The sequence below is a fragment of the Homo sapiens genome, chromosome 1 (assembly GCF_000001405.40).
Source record: "Homo sapiens chromosome 1, GRCh38.p14 Primary Assembly".
Lineage (NCBI taxonomy): Eukaryota > Metazoa > Chordata > Mammalia > Primates > Hominidae > Homo > Homo sapiens.
In genome coordinates, this window is record NC_000001.11 from 172,553,486 (window position 1) to 172,573,209 (window position 19,724).

The following is a 19,724-nucleotide window of genomic DNA, read 5'->3' on the forward strand; positions in this document are numbered from 1 at the left end:
TCTGTAACTGGACTTAAGATTACTTACCTGCTAATAGTACTACTTTTGAGAACATGTAAAATTACAGATAATAATAAATGTGACTAGTCTCTTGGTAGTAAAAGTTTGAGTATAAATCCTCATTTCTTCCTCGGTTCTATTTTGGTTCATTATGATGTATCTTGTCTCTTCAGATTTTCAGTTGTTAAGAAATTTTTTTCTAACCTGAATCACTTGGAACAAAAGGGAGTATTTTTATGTAGAACACAGAGTATTTTGATAACCAAGATTTCCACTTATTGTGGGTATGAATAGATAATAGATCAAAATATGTTTTTTCCCTTTTTCTCTCATATTACATTCTGAATATTGTTTATTTTGTGCACCAGACTTTATGAAAAATACTAAAAACTAGAATATATACACCATAAACTGATCAGAATGCTGAGGTATCTGGAAACCATGTAATATCAGTAATGGCTGAAGGTACTGGGGATATTTTATCTGTAGGCAGAAGGACTAAGGAAAAACTAAAATCTCGAATATTAAAAAAAGAACACACATTTCAACTCAGAATGAGGGAGAATTCTTTCTTTTTAAAAAAATACAGCCTTGGCTAATTTTTTTTTCATTTTTTATTTTTTAACCTTGTACTTTTTGCAAGAGCCAGGGCTATTTTATAACTTACTGAGTTATCTAAAGCAATAGAATTAGTTTCATTTTATTGGATTCTGGAAGACATTTGTCAAGGGTTTATGCATAGGAGTAAGAGAAAAATGATACTTGTAGCCCTTACAATTGTATGACTATCCTGAACACTCCTACCGTTATTCATAAAACTTTTATTATGATGTAGTTGTGCTCAAATACTTCCGAGTGCTTACCATGTCTTGTATACCTATGTTGTTCATTACAGTAGCCACTAGCCACATGTGGCCATTAAGCACTTGAAATGCGGCTAGTCCAAATTGAAATTTACTGTAAGTGTAAAATACACATTGGATTTTGAAGACTTAATTAAAAAATAGCATGTAGGCCGGGCACAGTGGATCACCTGAGGTCAGGAGTTCGAGACCAGCCTGGCCAACATGGTGAAACCCTGTCTCTACCAAAAATACAAAAATTAGCCAGGTGTGGTGGTGCACGCCTATAGTCTCAGCTACTCAGGAGGCTGAGGCAGGAGAATTGCTTGAACCCAGGAGGCGGAGGTTGCAGTGAGCCGAGATCATGCCACTGCACTCCAGCCTGGGGCAACAGAGTGAGACTCTGTCTCAAAAAAAAAAAAAAAAGCATGTAAAGTATCTCATTAATTTTTAAATTTTGAATACATGTTCATATGGTAATATAGTATTTGATAATAAGGCAGTAGTCATTTTCTCAAGGCCTCCATCATAAAAATGCAGATGACTATTTATATTTTTTTGTGAATTTCTCGGTGTAAATAATTCCCCAAATGATCATACTTTATATTCTCCGGACTGCGTGCCTCGATGTTTGTTTGTGCTCTTGTACTGGCCCTCCTTTTCTTTAATGCCTAGCTCTTCTAATTCATCATAGTCCTTAGTTTCTTTTTCCTTGAGCTGAACATGAGTACCTCTCACTTGATATTCATTTATTGAGCATTTAAACACCTACTGTGCGCTAGATACTGTGCTAGACACTGGGAATATGAGGATCAAGAGAACATAGTTCTTACTGAGGACATTTATGGTATAGTTGAAGAAGAGAGGGAGACATGAATAATGGCAATTGAGTTGTTATAGATGCAGTGATAAAAGTGTACAGAGAACACTGGAGGCATAGGGGAAAGGGAGTAGTTAATTCTGTTTAGGGTTGATCTTGGAGGAGGAGGTGCTGATAGAGGTTTTCAAATATGAACAGGTGTTAGGTAGATTTCACATTGTGTTTTGGAGGACTGAAAGGCCCAGGTCATTCAAGACTGAAGGAGCAGTAAGAATCATTTATTGCTTCATGGTGTTACTTGAACATATCTTATATCGTTGCTTATTGATACACATTATTTCCTAAACTGCTCAGGGTCAAGAACTATGTATTGTACTGTTTTGTACATGTCCATAGGGTTTCTTTGTTGCTACTATCATTCATCAATTAGAGAAGAGGGAAATCTCTGTAGGTCCTGATGCAAAGTAGGAAATAGGTAGGGAGAAAGTGCTTTCCTAGTTTATGAAATGCCATGAAAAATGCTTAGGGCCTGTATTTTCATATGAAATGCATTCCTTAGGGCGGTAATATTGGAAGAAAGGATTTTTATAAAAGTACTTTTTTTAGTGAACATTGTTTATATTGTCATTTTTCAGAAATGCTTTCCATAAATGCCCGTTCTGCTAAAGAGATGTTATATTAATCTCAACATTTAATTTAGCTGACTTGTTTTTTTAAACAGAATACAGAGTCAAAAAAGTTAAGTCCACCGGTGGTGGAGACACTCCCTACAGTTGATTTGCATGAAGAGTCTTCCAATGCAGTTGTGGACAGTGAAACTGTTGAAAATATTTCCAGCTCATCTACCTCAGAAATCACTCCAATCTCAAAGCTTGAGTAAGTTGTTACAAAAAACAAACACAAAAAAGAATCTCCTTAGTTAGTGATAGAAAAATTTCCTTAAAAGATAAAGCAGCTTGATACTCAAGTTTGAAGTTTAGGCTATATAGCAGACCTAAATTACAGTGCTTGTGTTTTGTGTGCGTATGTGTGCATGCGTTTGTGTGTTTTGAATGTAATGATTTTATAACAAGTTTATTTAGCTAACTAACTCAATGAAGCTGATAGATCCCAGATATGAAATCTCTATATAGTCTGAGCAAAGTAAGGTTCTACTTAGGAAACAGTGCTTATTTGAATTGAATTCCCTATAATTATCAACTCAAATGTCAGGTTATTCATTTCCATTAAGTATCACTGTCATTTCATTCATTTTTATGTCTTCGTGTGAATCGCTAACTTTTTCAAACTCGATAATAAATATTCAGAGTGTTTAGGTTTAAGTGATCCTTAATTTAGAAAATTTGTTATGTACTTCTCCTAGCTTCTTCCTGCAGCAGTCCAAAGAACAAAACAAAATGTCCTTCTCTTAATACTACATTAAGCATTTCCTTTATCAAATGAGTTGACATAAATAAAGTGCAAGAAGAATAACTGGTACATAACTCAAGAATGTAAGGGCCTGGGTTGAAGGAGTTGCACAAGATATTATGGTTACCATTTAGAAGCTTGTCTCAGTATGGGCCAGGGAACAGAAGACATGTTGAGAAATAATGATAGTATTTAAACTTTTAAATTTAAATGATTCAGAAGGAATTTAAGGCTAGATACTATATATCTGAAGAGTGAATGCTATACTCCCATTATATTAAAAATGACTGGTTAATGAAATGGAGGTGAGGCAGGGAAAAATAGGAAGGTTTATATTTTAAAAACGAAATTCTAAGAACACCTTAAAATTTTAGTGAAATGTCTTGAGATAATGACTTTTGAAGGATGCCATAAGTAACAACTTTAATGCTGGTAGAATTAGTATAGTAATGATGGAAATTAAACTTTAGAGAAGATACATTGAGAATAAGTAATTTTTAAAAATCTTATTTTTGAAAGACCAAATATTAACCTCATATTTGGTAAGTAGTTATTTAGAAGCTGAGGACAATAACAGATCAAGTCAGCAATTGACTTTACATGATTTAAAATTTTCTTTCTTTGGTTTACATTATGTTTTGGAAATCACTAATAGTGTTTTTAATGTATATTACCTCAAGTTTATTTAATTACCAGATTATGTTTCTTGTTTCTTTTTTTAGTGAAATAGAAAAATCTGGTACTATTCCGATAGCCAAACCAAGTGAAACTGAGCAGTCTGAAACTGATTGTGATGTTGGTGAGGCCCTTGATGCTAGTGCTCCAATTGAACAACCTTCCTTTGTCAGTCCACCTGACAGGTGGGTAGGAGCAGTTGTTTGTCCTTCTTATGATTCTGTAATAACAGCAGTGTCCTGTTTGAATGGACTTTGGTGTATGTTAAATTCCACTTTGATTGAGAGAAAGCTGATCTCTTTGTGTTTCTTCCTTGGTTTACTTTGTGCATGAGTTCAAAGAATTTAGATTGTATAGAATTTGTTATCCAGTAAAATCTGTTTATTTAATATATCTTTTGGTTTTAAACAGCCTTGTTGGCCAGCATATAGAAAATGTATCATCTTCACATGGTAAAGGAAAGATAACAAAATCAGAATTTGAATCAAAAGTTTCAGCAAGTGAACAGGGCGGTGGTGATCCAAAATCTGCATTGAATGCTTCAGATAATTTAAAAAATGAGGTAGGTATATAACTTGCACTATCTCTTACTTCTTTATGTAATGCATTTTTGTTATTAGCTAAGCTTATAATAATTTGCTAACTATATTTGTCATAAAATCAGGGAGATTAAGTAGACAATAACATGTGGAACTAACACGAACTGTGCTCCCTGAGAGCAAGTGATTCTGTTTCCATTATAGTGTTTATCACATAAAGTTGTTTCAAGTGTGAACTCTCTCTGGTTATATATTATTAAATGATTTTGTGCCACCCACAGCTGTTTGATAGCAGATACATAAAGTCCTTATTTAATCATCTTCTTAGAAAGCTATCTAGAAGAAGGTATGACTAATTACATTTAATTATCTTCAGAATACAAGTTAATAATACAAGATTAAATTTAGGCTCTTCAGTCAGAACTATTTTAATGGAACATTTTACCTTTCATTATTTGTGTGCAAAATACAACCAGACCACCTTATATTTTAGAGTGTGATTCTTATAATTAAGGCAGGGCTTATCACAGTGGAACAGTTTTACTTTCTTTTCTCCTTCTGAGTTCTACCTTGACTTCATGCACTGTAGAATTTCTTGAAATAGTATCAACACAGCAATTTAAACTTCCCTCAGGTAAGCAATAACTAAGTTACAGAGATGAAGTATATTCCATAAACTTAACAAAAACAAAAATAAATAGGGTCCATGAGTAGTTCAGTGTGCTGACTACCACATCCATATTTATTCCTCTTTAATTTGGGGATCTTTTGTTCTCTGCTTTCTTTTTCACGTATTTTCAGTGAATCTTCACTTACGACTAACTAAACTTCATTCTGGAGACTTTCACTATCACGGGACCAACTGTTTTGACGATGTTTCTTACAAATATAGGAGCTCAGGATTTCATAGTCTAACATCTTGAAGGAACTACTTTTCTCAGTGATACCAAATCACGCATATGTTAAAGTTTAGTTGTCAGATATCACATCCATGAATAAAATTAGACAAACGTTAAAACACATCTTTGAAGGTATTTATAATAATGTCAAATGTAAAATTCAAGCATGGCAGCTAACTTTGTCCTAGATTTGCTTGTTCTCCTTAGCAGACTGAAATTTCTTTATTACCTTAGAGACTTAAACTGTTTGTGAGTCTATGCTAATCGGCAAAAGAGTAGAATTTTAATTAACTGTATTAATTACTTTCTAAATGAATTAGTATCCCAGAAAAATCATGACAGATAATGAGCACATTATGAGTAATAGCCAATAGTTTTATGTAGTATCTACTTCAGAATAACTCTGTCCCGTTAAGTTTGTGTGAGTGGGAGAGAATTTGCTTTCTGATGCCTTGTGCTAGCCTCTTATTTCAAGGATCTGTGAGACACTGATTGCCGTACTTATACAGAGAATGCTTTCCAAACTGATTTTGTTGTATTGTTTATAGACAGTGCATTACAAAGTGATTTTTATTGTATTTGTTCTCTTATTTGTTGCTAGGAGGATATAGTGATTTCTTTGGCTGGGCTTCAAAGGGTAAATGTATGTTCTTTTTGTTGCAGTTTTTGTATTTGAGCTTTACTTTGTTAGTATCTCAGCTAGGTAAATTTTTATAAGTGTATGTTTCTTGTTTATTTTCTCAATGTATCTGATGCAGGACAGGCAAGCCCCAAAATTAGTGCTTAGCCCGGGAGGGTTCTTGGCTTAGCCCAGGAAAGAATTCAAGGGCAAGCCAGTGGTATTAAACAGCGACTTTAATTGAAGCGGCAGTGTACAGCAGCAGCAGCAGAGGTAATGCTCTTTGTGGAGTAGGGCTACCCCATAAGCATTGTGCCCAGAATAGCAGCTCAGAAGCAGTTCTGCAGTCATGCTTATATACAATTTTAATTATATGCAAATTAAAGGGTAGTTTATGCAGAAATTTCTAGGGAAAAGGTGGTAACTTCTGGGTTGTCAGGCAGTTGTTATGGGAAGGGGTAGTAACTTTTGGGTGTTGCCATGGAAAGAGGTGGTAACTTCCAGGTGTTGCTGTGGCAGTGGTAAACAGACATAGCACATTGGTGGGCTTGGCTTACAGAAATTTGCTTCCGTCTGGGACCTGTTTTAGCTGGTACTCAATTTGATCTGATGTCCAAGACCCGCCTCCAGAATTGAATCCCACCTTCCCACCTCATTCCTCCCTCAGAGATTAGATACTCCTCCTTAATCTTAAGAAGGCTGCACAAGGACAGAGATCCATCTTCTGTAACTGCTTCCTGCTGAGTTTACAGTGTAGGCCCTGTCTAGCACCAGATGAGTGAAAATCTTTGGATAACTGATAGGGGCCCAGAGACAGGATGAGTTGGAAGCCTTGTGCTAACGTTATCTTTACCTGGAACTGTTGTAATCTAAGACAAAACTTTGCTAAGAGGTTAAACGAGCAAGGACCAAAAATTAGTAACAAGACAGCCTTCAAAGGTCCCAGAAGAGGTAGGTAAAAGCCAGTTGAGACTTGCGAAGGCAGTTTTGATAGTTGACCAGCTGTAGTTGCAATGAGTGCCCTGGTTATATCTGTAACCAGGTAGTTTACTCATAGATCTTTTGAATGTTAATCTCAACCTGTCTGGAGTTGTTCATATAGGTGCAGCAGGTTTTATTAATAACTGCACATACTCTACCTTGTTCAGCTAGTAAATAGTCCAGTGCTAGTCTGTTATTGAGAAATACATTTGCCAAAGAGTCTAGGGACTCTTGAATTCTCTTTAGTGCATGACCTGTGTTGGTGGCTAAGGATTCTAGGGTTTGAGTCAAGTTGTTTAGGGTTCACTTTAAGCAAAGCCACCCAAGGGTACTGCTGCCCTGATTCCTGCCAGAATTAATCCTATTGCTCATTTACTTCTGGTGTTACTATGACTGTGATCCCTGAAGGGGCAAGAGTGGCTAACATGTATTCACCTCAGTTCCAAGTTTTGATACATAAGGGAAAGCTACTCCTAAAAGAGAAGATGTTGACTTTTAACTATCCAGAATTAAAAAACAAAAAACAGATGACTACCTCGGGAGTCAGGAGTGGTTATGGGGTGTAACTTCTTCCCATTCATGGCCACAAAGAAAAATGAGCTGAATTGGGGCACAAATGGAGACCCTATGGGGTGTGATCTTTATTCTTTGTTGCCAACTTGAGTCTATAGAGATACTTTCCCCCTATTCTAATGGGGGTAGTTGAACAATCTTTGTTTTCTGAAAGAGGGTGGCACCGCCACCTTCCCAGACTAGATAGTTGTTTTTCCCCTGTATATTCTAATCCAGGAGAAGCCACCATGTATGGTCTCCTTGCTTTCAAGTGGAATCCCATTTACCTCACTGCAGCATTGGTATCTTGGCAGCTAGAGTTGTATTCAGAGCATTGCAGGGAAACTTCTGCTTTAGTGTCATTAGCACAAAAGATGCAGAAGGTAGGATCATGAGTGCACTGGAGGTATACATACCCAACTTCCCAGGTCCAGGTAATGGTGGGGAGGTTCAGGTGGATTTCATTCAGTGGGGGGAGTTCATTCCACTTATCAAGTAAGGGTTTGGGTATTTCAGGATTGCTGTGGTTAGTTAGGAGGTCTGTGGGGGATGTTTGTGAGATTTTTTGGATAAGTCAGAAGATTGAAATCTTTATCCTGGGGATGTTGATGACGAATCTAGCAACCATGAAGGTGGTGCCCTGATGCTATAATTTTTGAAATATTTACTGTAGAATTATGTTTCTACCCACACCAGCTCAGGGTAATTGGGAGAGCAAACAAGATTAATAGTGACAACATGATATCTGCGGTTGGGCCTTAGCATGGCCTCTACACCCAATAAGGACAAGAGAGGTGTTTCCTAGGAGGTTGGCTAAAGTGATCGAAAAGAAGTATTACACTATTTTGCTCCCCCAGTGCTCAAAAGGGTTCAAGGACCAATGAGTACCCACTCACCTCTACTCTTGTCTGGCCCAGAACATCCCCTGGCTACAAGTCCCCTGACTCCAAGTCCCCTGGCCACAGGGTTCCCACCAAGGGACACAATGGACCTGGGGCAGGCAGCATACTACCTCAGCATTGGCACAGGAGAAAATAAAATCTTTGCCATTAACATTGCATCCAGCACCTTCTGACAACAAGGAGGAATACAAAACAAAAATCAAAATCTGTAGCCCCCCAACAGACTGAACAGATGCTCCCTTCCTGGCCAAAGGGAATGGATTTGGGCAGGCACCTACCAGCCCCCCAAACACTTCTAAGCAATATCAGAGTCAAAACCAAAAGCCAAAATAAGTTACACATCAATAAAAAAACAACAGCATAGAATTAAGCTATACTGGAGGAAAACACTGCTCCCACAGACCTCTCTCTAAGACTAAACATTTTAGCCTCAGGTCACAACAGCAGTTGTAGCTGGAGGAGAAAAACTCACAGGAGCTCACAAAAAAAGCTAAAAGAGTTAAATGAATCTGAGAAGCTTTCAAAAGAATAGATTACAAGATTGAAAAGCAAAATTTCTGGTAATTTAGCAAATTAACATTTTAAGAAAATTGGGTTTTAACATTTTTTTTTTTTTTTTTTTTATTTTGAGATGGAGTCTTGCTCTGTTGCCAATCTGGAGTGCAGTGGTGCGATCTCTGCTCACTGCAACCTCCGCCTCCCGGGTTCAAGTGATTCTCTTGCCTCAGCCTCCCATAGCTGGGACTACAGGCGTGCACCACCATGCCCATCTAATTTTTGTATTTTTAGTAGAGATGGGGTTTCACCATGTTGGCCATGGCCAGGATGGTCTTGATCTCTTGACCTCGTGATCACCCGCCTTGGCCTTCCAAAGTGCTGGGATTAACAGGTGTGAGCCAGTGCACCCAGTTAGACCATTCTTTAGAAAGTGTATTGTAAACAATTTCCTTTTAATTATACCAAGTTTAATCATACACAAAATTTCTTTTTATAAAAGTCTCCTTTATGAACCTTGTCACGACATAACACAGACCCTCCACAACATGCTTGAATTTTCTTACTTGTCTGATATGGTTTAGCTCTGTGTCGCCACCCAAACCTCATGTTGAGTTGTAATCCCCACGTTAGAGGAGCGGCCAGATGGGAGGTGATTGAATTGTGGGGGTGGAATTTCCCCTTGCTGTTCTTGTGATAGTGACTTCTCACAAGATCTAGTTTAAAAGTGTGTAGTGCTTACCCCTTCACTCTCTTCCTCCTGCACTGCCATGTAAAGAAGGTACTTGCTTCCCCTTTGCCCTTCTGCTGTGATTGTAAGTTTCCTGAGGCCTCCCTAACCATGCTTCCTGTACAACCTAAGAAACTGTGAGTCAATTAAAAATTAAACCTCTTTTCTTCGTAAAACACCTAGTCTCAAATAGTTCTTTATAGCAGTGTAAGAACAGACTAATATAGAAAATTGGTACCAGAGAAGTGGGGCATTGTTAAAAAGGTACTTGAAAATATGGAAGTGACTTTGGAACTGGGAAATGGGCAGAGGTTGGACAGTTTGGAGGGCTCAGAAGACAGGAAGGTAACAGAAAGTTTGGAACTTCCTAGAGACTTGTTGAATGGTTTTGACCAGAATACTGATAGTAATATGGACAGTGAAATTCAGGCTGAGGTGGTTTCAGATGGAGATGAGGAACTCATTGGGAATTTGAGCAGAGGTGACTCTTGCTGTGATTTAGCAAAGAGCCTGGTGGCATTGTGCCTCTGCTTTAAGGATCTGTGGGACTTTGAACTTGAGAGAGATGATTTAGGGTATCTGGCAGAAGAAATTTCTAGGCAGTAAAGTATTCAAGATGTGGCCTGGCTACTTCTAAAAGCCTGTGCTCATTTGCATAAACAAAGAAATGGCCTAAAACTGGAACTTATATTTAAAACGGAAGCAGAGTATAAAAGTTTGGAAAATTTGCAGCCTGACTTGTGGTAGAAAAGAAAAACCCATTCACTGGGGAGGGATTCAAGCCTGCAGAAATTTGCATAAGTAGAGAGGAGCCAAATGTTAATAGCCAAGAAAGTGGGGGAAATGCTTTTAGGGCATTTCAGGCACCTTCATGGCAGCCCCTCCCATCGCAGGCCAGGAGACCTAAGAGGGAAAAATGGTTGCGTGGGCCAGTCCCCGGGTCCTGCTGCTCTGTGCAGCCTCCGGACATGGCACCCTGCATCCCAGCTGCTCCAACTTCAGCTGTGGTTGAAAGGGGCAAAGGTACAGATCAGGCCATTGCTTCAAAGGGTGCAAGCCCCGAGCCTTTGCAGCTTCCGTGTGATATTGGGCCTATGAGTGCAAAAAGGGCAGGAGTTGAGGTTTGGGAACTTCTGCCTAGATTTCAGAGGATGTATGCAAATGTCTGGATGTCCAGGCAGAAGTCTGCTGCAGGGACAGAGCCGTCATGGAGAACCTCTACAAGAGCAGTGCAGAGGGGAAATATGGGGTGGGAACCCCCAATCCCCAGCATCCCCACTGGAGCACTGCCTAATGGAGCTGTGAGAAGAGGGCCACCATCCTCCAGACCCCAGAATGTTAGATCCACCAACAGCTTGCACCGTGCACCTGGAAAAGTAGCAGGCACTCAACACCAGCTCCTGAAAGCAGTTATGGGGGCTCTACCCTGCAGAACCACAGGGGTGGAGCTGCCCAGGGCCTTGGTGATGAATGAGTTCTTGCGTGATCTGGTTGTTTAAAAGTGTGTTGCACTTCCCCCTTCACTCTCTTTCTCCTGCGCCACCATGTGTAAAAGGTGCTTGCTTCCCCTTCAGTCTTCCACCATGATTGTAAGTTTCCTGAGGCCTTCTCAACTGTGTTTCCTGTACAGCCTGCAGAACTGTGATTCAGTTAAACTTTTTTTTTTTTTTCATAAATTACCCAATCTCAGGTTGTTCTTTACAGCAATGTGAGAATGGACTAATACGTTGTCCTATACTACCTCTTTCTTGAATAACTGGACATTTTACTTTAGGACAAGGATTTACTATGCAAGATTTCTCCCTCATATAAAATTACTCTTTTTTTATATCCTTTGCAAAACAAAGAGAAAACATTTTCTATCCATAACATTCTTTATGTCTCTCTTTTCTACCTAATGGTTTCCTTATATTTTGAACTTCCCTTTTAGTAACTTCCAAATTAAACAAAACATTTTTTCCCAATAAAAAATACATTTCTTTAGCACATTTTATGTAAACCTAGCAAGAAATCCTGAACTGCCTACCAGACATTAGAATTTTATAGATGAGAATCATTTTACCATTTTTAGATTTTATACCATACAATAAGCTCAGTCTATTCTATTCTGTTCTGATCTGTTCTGTTCTGTTCTGTTCTGTTCTATTCTATTCTCATGCCATTTTAATCATTTTAAAGCCTATGCACATAAGTAATTTACCTAGGAAAGGGTTGCCAAAGTGGAGACTTCAGAGGCCCTGACTTGCTGGAGAACCTACCTGGTAGTGGAGACACTGAGAAAATAGGTAGCCACTTGTTGACTGCTGTAGGTGGCTGTCCATTTGAGGTCAGGAGCCTGTGAACTCCCAATTCCTTTGACCAAGAGGGGCAGTTACAAGCAAAGCAGTTATAAGACAGCTCCCAAGAAGGAGTTGCAACTCGCTGTTAGGAAAATAATACTTCTAACTTTAGGACAGAAAAGGGCAAGACTAATACTTCCCTAGGGAGAGGGGCTATAACCCACAGTCCTAAAGGAATGTCAATGCCAAAAACCCCAGCGCATCTTGGGTGCAGTCTATAATACCAATGCTGTAAACCCAGAGTGCCTGCATTTCAGCCAACGAGGGTCCCTTCACCAATGCCAAAAACCCTAGTGCACCCCGGGTGCAGCCAACAGTGTCCCATGACTGAGTTGAGGTCACAGAATGTGACTGTGGTGTCCCAGAGTCAACACACTGGGGGGACCTCTCACAACTAAGTGTCCCACCTTAAATAATTGCCACACACAGTTGACAGAAAGTTAAAAGCAAACAATAAGACTGCACACATTTTAGGATTGAAAATGAAATGACTGGTGGAATAATGAACTAGAAGGGCAAGGACCAGTGGAAGAGGTGCTCAGGATGTGTTTCAGGGCACACTAACGATGGGGGCTTTTAACTGACCACTTAGCCAAAGGCTTTTGTTCCCTAGCTTACCTGATAATTATGGGGGGTGGTAGAGGGGACACACCCATCCACAGAAGCCAAAATGTGACTGGTCTTCCACATGGGATTTGGGTCTTCATCCAGGTTCCCTCATCTAGAGTGGGCTCAGCTGCTGCAGTGGGAGGGGCTTGCACAGGGGCTGGTAACCTACTGGTCTGCCTGTCAGAGCAGTGGGTCCCATATGAGGCAGTGGCATTATGGCCACTTGCTCGTCTGCTCAGCTGTGCTGTCTGCCAGGGAAAATGATGACTCTCAAAAGAGCTTTTGATTAGTGTTAGAGCTCAGGTTTTACAGCTCTGCTTAGTTACCTCTCTGGTCATCTCACCTGCTGCCATGTCTTGCTGTCTTGTTTTGTTAACTGCTGTCTCTCATTGTCCCTTGCTGTTTTCTTGCTGTTTCTCTGACTGCCATCTCTCATTGGCTCTTGCCAATCACCTTCTCTCCATCTCTGCTGTTGCATCATCTTGCCTCTCCTCCAGTCACTGCCATCTCTGCTTTCTTCATCCCTTCGTGGTCACCAGATGATTCAGGACAGGGAAGCCCCCAAATTGGGGATTAGCCCAGGAAGGTTCTTGGCTTCACCTAGGAAAGAATTCAAGGGCAAGCTGGTGGTGTTAAACAGCAACTTTTATTGAATTGACTGTATACAGCAGCAGCAGAAGTACTGCTCTTTGAGGAACAGGGCTACCCCACAGGCAGGGTGCCTAGAGCAGCAGCTCAGAGGCAGTTCTGCAGTCATACCCACTTTTAATTATATGCAAATTAAGGGGTGGTTTACGCAGAAATTTCTAGGAAAATGGTGGTAACTTCCAGGTTGCTGGATCCTTGTCATGGAAAGGGGTGGTAACTTCCAGGTGTTGCCATGGCAGTGCTAAACTGACAAGGCACGCTGGTGGGCATGTCTTACAGAAACTGCTCCTGACCTGTTTTATGTGGGCATGCATATGGTTCGGTGTCAGAGCCCTGCCTCCGGAATCAATTGAGTCCTGTCTCCTTCCTTATATTCAAACTAGATTTTTATTATCTAATTGAAAAAATTAAATTAGTGGTAATACTAGCTCTTTTGTCTTTTTCTGCCATGTATTGTTTTAAGTAGCCATACACTTCATTTAGTAAATCAACTTGTTCTGTAAAGCACTCTAAGGTGGAAGTTGGATGGGGACCAAATTGCTGTCTTCCTAAAGGGAGGTTTGGAAATGGCTCTACTTCCTTTGAAGAAAAGAAGAAATAGTCCCAGAAGTTATGGATATTTCATGTTAGTGCTCAAAAGCATGCTCTTATGTAGCAAATATAAACTAAATGAGACTTATATTGTTTACCAGAGTTTCCTATCTAATAGATTTTGTACACTTCTCAATATAGTGTTAGTGAACACATCAAAACTTTGTTTTAGGAATACAGAAATGATTCAATAATGGAATAAATGTCTGTATTCATTATTCAGTTTAAGAGGAAAAAAAGTCACAAGATTGGATGCCCTTCCTCAGTATTCCTTCTCTTGTCTTCAGATATAACCACTGTCTTGAATTTAGTATTTTTTTTGTTTAGTTTTAGAGCTTTTCAAATAAGTATAAATAATATATATTATATGGCATAGTTTAATATAAATGACATTCTTAAGTAACATTTTATTCAACATTGTTTTGAGATTTGTTCATTGTTTCCACTGCTCTGTTTATAGTGACTACTGCAGTTCATCCATTCCTCATTTAATGGATATTTAGGTTATTATTTTTGGTATTAAAAGCAATGCTCTAATGAACATTCTTATGCATATCTTTTGGACACACATGAGTGTTTTCACTTAGATTTATACATGGGGTGTATTTAGGGATTATGCACATCTTAATATTGTTAAATTTTAAACTCCTTTTAGCATAGATTTCTCTTGGCTCAACAGATATTTCACACTTGGCCACAGACTATCACACTTTAAACTCCATTAGATTTGTATAATTTATGTCAGCATGCCCCAACCCCCAGGCCACAGACCAGCACCAGTCCATGGCCTGTTAGGAACCAGGCGCACGACAGGTGGTGAGCAGCAGGTAAGCAAGCATTATCGCCTGAATTCTGCCTCCTGTCATATCAGTGGTGGCATTAGAATCTTATATGAGTGTGAACCCTATTGTGAACTGCACATGTGAGGGATCTAGGTTGTGCACTCCTTATGAGAATCTAATGCCTTATGATCTAAGGTGGAACAGTTCATCCCAAAACCATCTCCCTGCCCCATCCATGGGAAAACTGTTTTCCATGAAACTGGTCCCTGGTTTCAGAAAAGTTGTGGACCACTGATTTATATGATATCTCAGGCTTTCATTTGGATTCCATGATTATTACTGAAATTGTATTTCTTTTTACAAATTTATTGATTTTATTCTTTGCTTCCCACCCACCCCATCCCCTTATTTGATTTGCTGATACTCTTTATACTTAATAATAATTCTTTGTTGACTGAATGTATTGCAGATACTTCTCTCAGTGTGTGACTTATTCGTCCATGTCATTTATGGTTAACCTAACCAAATGTATCAGCTTTTAAAAATGATTTATGCATTCTGCATCTTATTAACATGATTTATAAAGATTTTTAAATTTTCTTCTAAAATGTAAAGTTTTGTTTTTTCACATTTAGAATTTTTAATTTGCCTTAAAATTTTTGTGTACACAGTGTTTCTTTTTAAGGATATTGTGGAAATAATATTAAAACATCTAAAATTATCTAGCTTCCTTTAATGGATGTATTAACTTATATTTTAAGGTGGATGCATGGCAAGTATACAATTTATTCATTTGTACAGGCTATATATGAGTAATTGTTTGCTTTAGAGTTTTATAAATTATTTTTTTCAACGACCTATGCTTATATCACTTAACAAGTGAAGGAACACATCCTAAAAAGAATGTTTAAATTATCTCAAGAGAAATTCAACTTTTAAGTAAACCAAAACCTTTCTTTTTACGTTTTTTATTTTTTCAAAATATAATCATTCATTATAAATTGGAACTTTAATTTGACAGAAACATTTGTATTTATTTCTAAAATTTATTTGTATTATTTGAAAGTTGAAGTCTTCTTACTTTTTGGTGTTTCTTTCAGAGCTCTGATTATACAAAACCAGGAGACATTGACCCTACATCAGTAGCAAGTCCCAAAGATCCAGAAGATATACCAACATTTGATGAATGGAAGAAGAAAGTTATGGAAGTAGAAAAAGAAAAAAGTAAGGAAGTATTTGAGTTCTTTAAATTTTTTTTTTAAGTATATGGTGTAGTTTAATATGCTTTCTTTTTTTGATTGGTAAAACAAAATAAAATTTACTTTTGAAAACTTTTTAAAGGTGAAACTTAACCAAGTTGCTGTTGATCCATCCATCCATCATGTACCTGTATATAATTACATACAGTTTTAGTTTTAATTAAAATCCATTCTTGTAAATTATTAAGTGAGCATAAAATAAGGCATAGCAGTGATTTTCATCACAATACGAGGAAAATTGAGGCATGGAAACTATTTTAAAATTCATATGGAACTCAAAAAGAACTTGCATAAAATCCTTGGGTTTAAAATATTCTTTAACTTACCAAAAGGTGTTTTACATATGATGTTTCAAGAACATACCTAAAGAAAAGCTTGCTTATGTTATGAGGCAGAGGAGGGTGACTAAAATTATAATTTATTCCCTGTGTGATGGGTTATTAGGTGCAGCACACCACCATGGCACATGTTTACCTATGTAACAAACCTGCACATCTTGCGTGTGTACCCCAGAGCTTAAAAAAAAAACAATAAAATAATGTAAGAAATACATCCTTAATAGATGTTTATAATAGATATAAATACAGAAAGCTTTGATTCTCATGGACAAGCTTCATTTTGTGAGTTATGTTACTTAGACATAAGTAATGTAGAATTTTGTAGTTAATTTGTTTTGGGGGGATATTTTAAGCTATTGAGGTGGAGCACTTTGATTTTTTTATGAATTTTTAAAATATTCTCTCAAGTGTTAAAACCTATTCTTTTCTAGAAGACAGCTTATTGCTTTGGAGATCAGTGTTGCTAGAGGTATTTTCAGTCATAATCATCAAATATATATATAAATATTTATAATAACGGTTTGTCTGCAGGTCAGTCGATGCATGCATCTTCTAATGGAGGTTCACATGCCACCAAAAAGGTCCAGAAAAATCGAAATAATTATGCCTCAGTAGAATGTGGTGCCAAAATTCTAGCAGCTAATCCAGAAGCCAAGGTAGGTGTTTAAATATAAAATTTTGTATATATAGGAAATTAACGACTTTTTAAAATACAGGTTATTTGTTTACTGGGAACTATATTTTAATGTGAGATATTTTCCTTATTCACTAATAAAAGCAGAATATACTTTTCAAAACATTATCTTGTATGAATTCTTACTTATATTGGCTGATGTATTTTGCCCTGCATTTTTTAACTTTTAAAACCCGTATGAAATTTTAAAAAGGAAATAACTAAAATATTATTTTTTTCTTTAAAGTAACAGGCATTGAATTTTAAATGTATCATTGTAACACTAATTTAATGCTGTTGCCGTGAATGGTGAATCTTAGCCACTTTTATGCTTTTTTCCCAAGTGAGTGTTTTAAAGTCTTAGGTGTACTTAAGATCTAAAAATACAGAAGTCCCAGAAAACTTTAAAGTTAAAATAAATACTTTCTTCATTATTCCTTAAGTAATTTGTTTCCTTTCCTCTTTTTAAAATAGAGCACATCTGCTATTCTTATAGAAAATATGGATCTTTACATGTTGAATCCTTGCAGCACTAAAATTTGGTGAGTTATACACAATTTTAAAAAGTACATTCTACATATATATGCATATTATGTTAAGCTTTTACATTAGGGTTACATTGACATATAATAATTTAATAAGCTTTTATGATTGATTAGTGCTGATACTATGCAAAACTGAGGACAAAATGCCTTCCTTTCCTTTTGAGGAGGTCACAAAAAGCAAAAAATGGCAGATCTGGTTAAACAATTATGAAATGGTATAAAAAGTACTGTTGAAAGGGTGTTATTGAAAGAGTGATGATGCGTAACTGCAAGAGGAGATGAGAGAAGGCTTCCTGGAAGAGGTAATTCCTGAGCTGAATCTTGAAGGATTAATAGGAAGTGGCAGATGAATGAGGCAGAGGTATTCAGGAACTGTAAGAATAAGGGGGGTACTGCTGCCATCTCGGCACACTGCAGCCTCCCTGCCTGATTCTCCTGCCTCAGCCTGCGGAGTGCCTGCGATTGCAGGCGCGCGCCACCACGCCTGACTGGTTTTCGTATTTTTTTGGTGGAGACGGGGTTTCGCTGTGTTGGCCGGGCTGGTCTCCAGCTCCTAACTGCGAGTGATCCGCCAGCCTCGGCCTCCCGAGGTGCCGGGATTGCAGACGGAGTCTGGTTCACTCAGTGCTCAATGGTGCCCAGGCTGGAGTGCAGTGGCCTGATCTCGGCTCGCTACAACCTCCACCTCCCAGCCGCCTGCCTTGGCCTCCCAAAGTGCCAAGATTGCAGCCTGTGCCCGGCCGCCACCCCGTCTGGGAAGTGAGGAGAGTCTCTGCCTGGCCGCCCATCGTCTGGGACGTGAGGAGCCCCTCTGCCTGGCTGCCCAGTCTGGAAAGTGAGGAGCGTCTCTGCCCGGCCGCCATCCCATCTAGGAAGTGAGGAGCGCCTCTTCCCTGCCGCCATCCCATCTATGAAGTGAGGAGCTTCTCTGCCCGGCCGCCCATCGTCTGAGATGTGGGGAGCGCCTCTGCCCCGCCGCCCCGTCTGGGATGTGAGGAGCGCCTCTACCCGGGCGCGACCCCGTCTGGGAGTTGAGGAACGTCTCTGCCCAGCCGCCCTGTTCGAGAAGTGAGGAGAACCCCCGCCCGGGCACCGCCCCGGCCGAAAAATTAGGAGCCCGTCCGGCCCGCAGCCCCCCCGTTTGGGGAAGTTAGGAGCGTCTCTGCCCGGGAGCCACCCCAATCCTGGAAGGAAGGTGGGGGGGTGAGCCCCATGCCCGGCCAGCCGCCCGTAATGGGAGGGAGGTGGGGGGGTCAGCCCCCCGCCCGGCCAGCCGCCCCGTCCGGGAGGGAGGTGGGGGGGTCAGCCCCCCGCCCGGCCAGCCGCCCCGTCCGGGAGGGAGGTGGGGGGTCAGCCCCCGCCTGGCAAGCCACCCGGTCCGGGAGGTGAGGGGCGCCTCTGCCCGGCCGCCCCTACTGGGAAGTGAGGAGCCCCTCTACCCAGCCACCACCCCGTTTGGGAGGTGTACCCAACAGCTCATTGAGAACGGACCATGATGACAATGGTGGTTTTGTGGAATAGAAAGGGGGGAAGGGCGGGGAAAGGATTGAGAAATCGGATGGTTGCCATGTCTGTGTGGAAAGAGGTAGACACGGGAGACTTTTCATTTTGTTCTGTACTAAGAAAAATTCTTCTGCCTTGTGATCCTGTTGATCGGTGACCCTACCCCCAACCCTGTGCTCCCTGAAACATGTGCTGTGTCCACTCAGGGTTAAATGGATTAAGGGTGGTGCAAGATGTGCTTTGTTAAACAGATGCTTGAAGGCAGCATGCTCATTAAGAGTCATCACCACTCCCTAATCTCAAGTACCCAGGGACACAAACACTGCGGAAGGCCGCAGGGTCCTCTGCATAGGAAAACCAGAGACCTTTGTTCATTTGTTTATCTGCTGACCCTCCCTCCACTATTGTCCTATGACCCTGCCAAATCCCCCTCTGTGAGAAACACCCAAGAATGATCAATAAAAAAAAAAAAAAAAAAAAAAAAAAAAAAGAATAAGGGGGCAGTGCTAAAAAGGAGTATGTTTCTTCTGGGTGACTGTTAGATATTACAAGAAGAAAGATACAATGAGAGTAGGGGTGGAACATAAGCCTGGAGCATTCGTTTATCTATAAGTAGGCCATCCAGTGCTGTGTATACCCAGAGTGTTACATGTCATGGGTATTTATTTTCCGCCAATGCCATGCTATATGCAGTTTTATATTATGCACATGGAACCATGCTTTTAATTTTTTCCTAAGCAGCAATATTTTTGGCATCTTTCCATGTTAATAAATGTAAATCTTAGCATCATTTTAAAAAAAAACAGCTTTATTGGGGTATAGTTGACATACAATAAATTGCATGTATAATAAACTACATGTCAAAGTGTATAATTTGGTAAGTTTTGACATTTATGTATCTGAAGCCATCACCACAATAAAGATAACAAACATATCCATCATTCCCAAAAGTTTCATCATACCTCTTTGTAAT

The 19,724-nt window shown here is 39.4% G+C and overlaps 1 protein-coding gene across 8 annotated transcripts in view, besides 1 other annotated feature; it reads left to right on the plus strand.

Annotated features, from left to right (window-relative positions):
• The window catches only part of SUCO (SUN domain containing ossification factor), a 79,485-nt gene that overhangs the window by 21,137 nt on the left and 38,624 nt on the right, over window positions 1-19,724 (plus strand). For all 8 annotated transcript variants that reach the window (XR_007060764.1, NM_016227.4, NM_014283.5 and 5 more), the window contains 6 exons: window positions 2,384-2,538; window positions 3,795-3,932; window positions 4,159-4,309; window positions 15,534-15,657; window positions 16,562-16,686; window positions 17,178-17,245. Coding sequence is in view for 6 of the 8 variants with exons in the window: in NM_016227.4 (NP_057311.3) it covers window positions 2,384-2,538; window positions 3,795-3,932; window positions 4,159-4,309; window positions 15,534-15,657; window positions 16,562-16,686; window positions 17,178-17,245 (761 nt within the window). In the remaining 2 variants the exon portion in view is untranslated. The remainder of the gene's footprint in view (window positions 1-2,383; window positions 2,539-3,794; window positions 3,933-4,158; window positions 4,310-15,533; window positions 15,658-16,561; window positions 16,687-17,177; window positions 17,246-19,724) is intronic.
• Window positions 17,302-18,301: an enhancer, noted in NCBI's record as "H3K27ac hESC enhancer chr1:172539927-172540926 (GRCh37/hg19 assembly coordinates)". NCBI's record gives its function as "activates a minimal SCP1, AML or CMV promoter by ChIP-STARR-seq in primed H9 embryonic stem cells {active_cell/tissue: H9 hESC(primed)}" and the evidence as "EXISTENCE:reporter gene assay evidence [ECO:0000049][PMID:30033119]".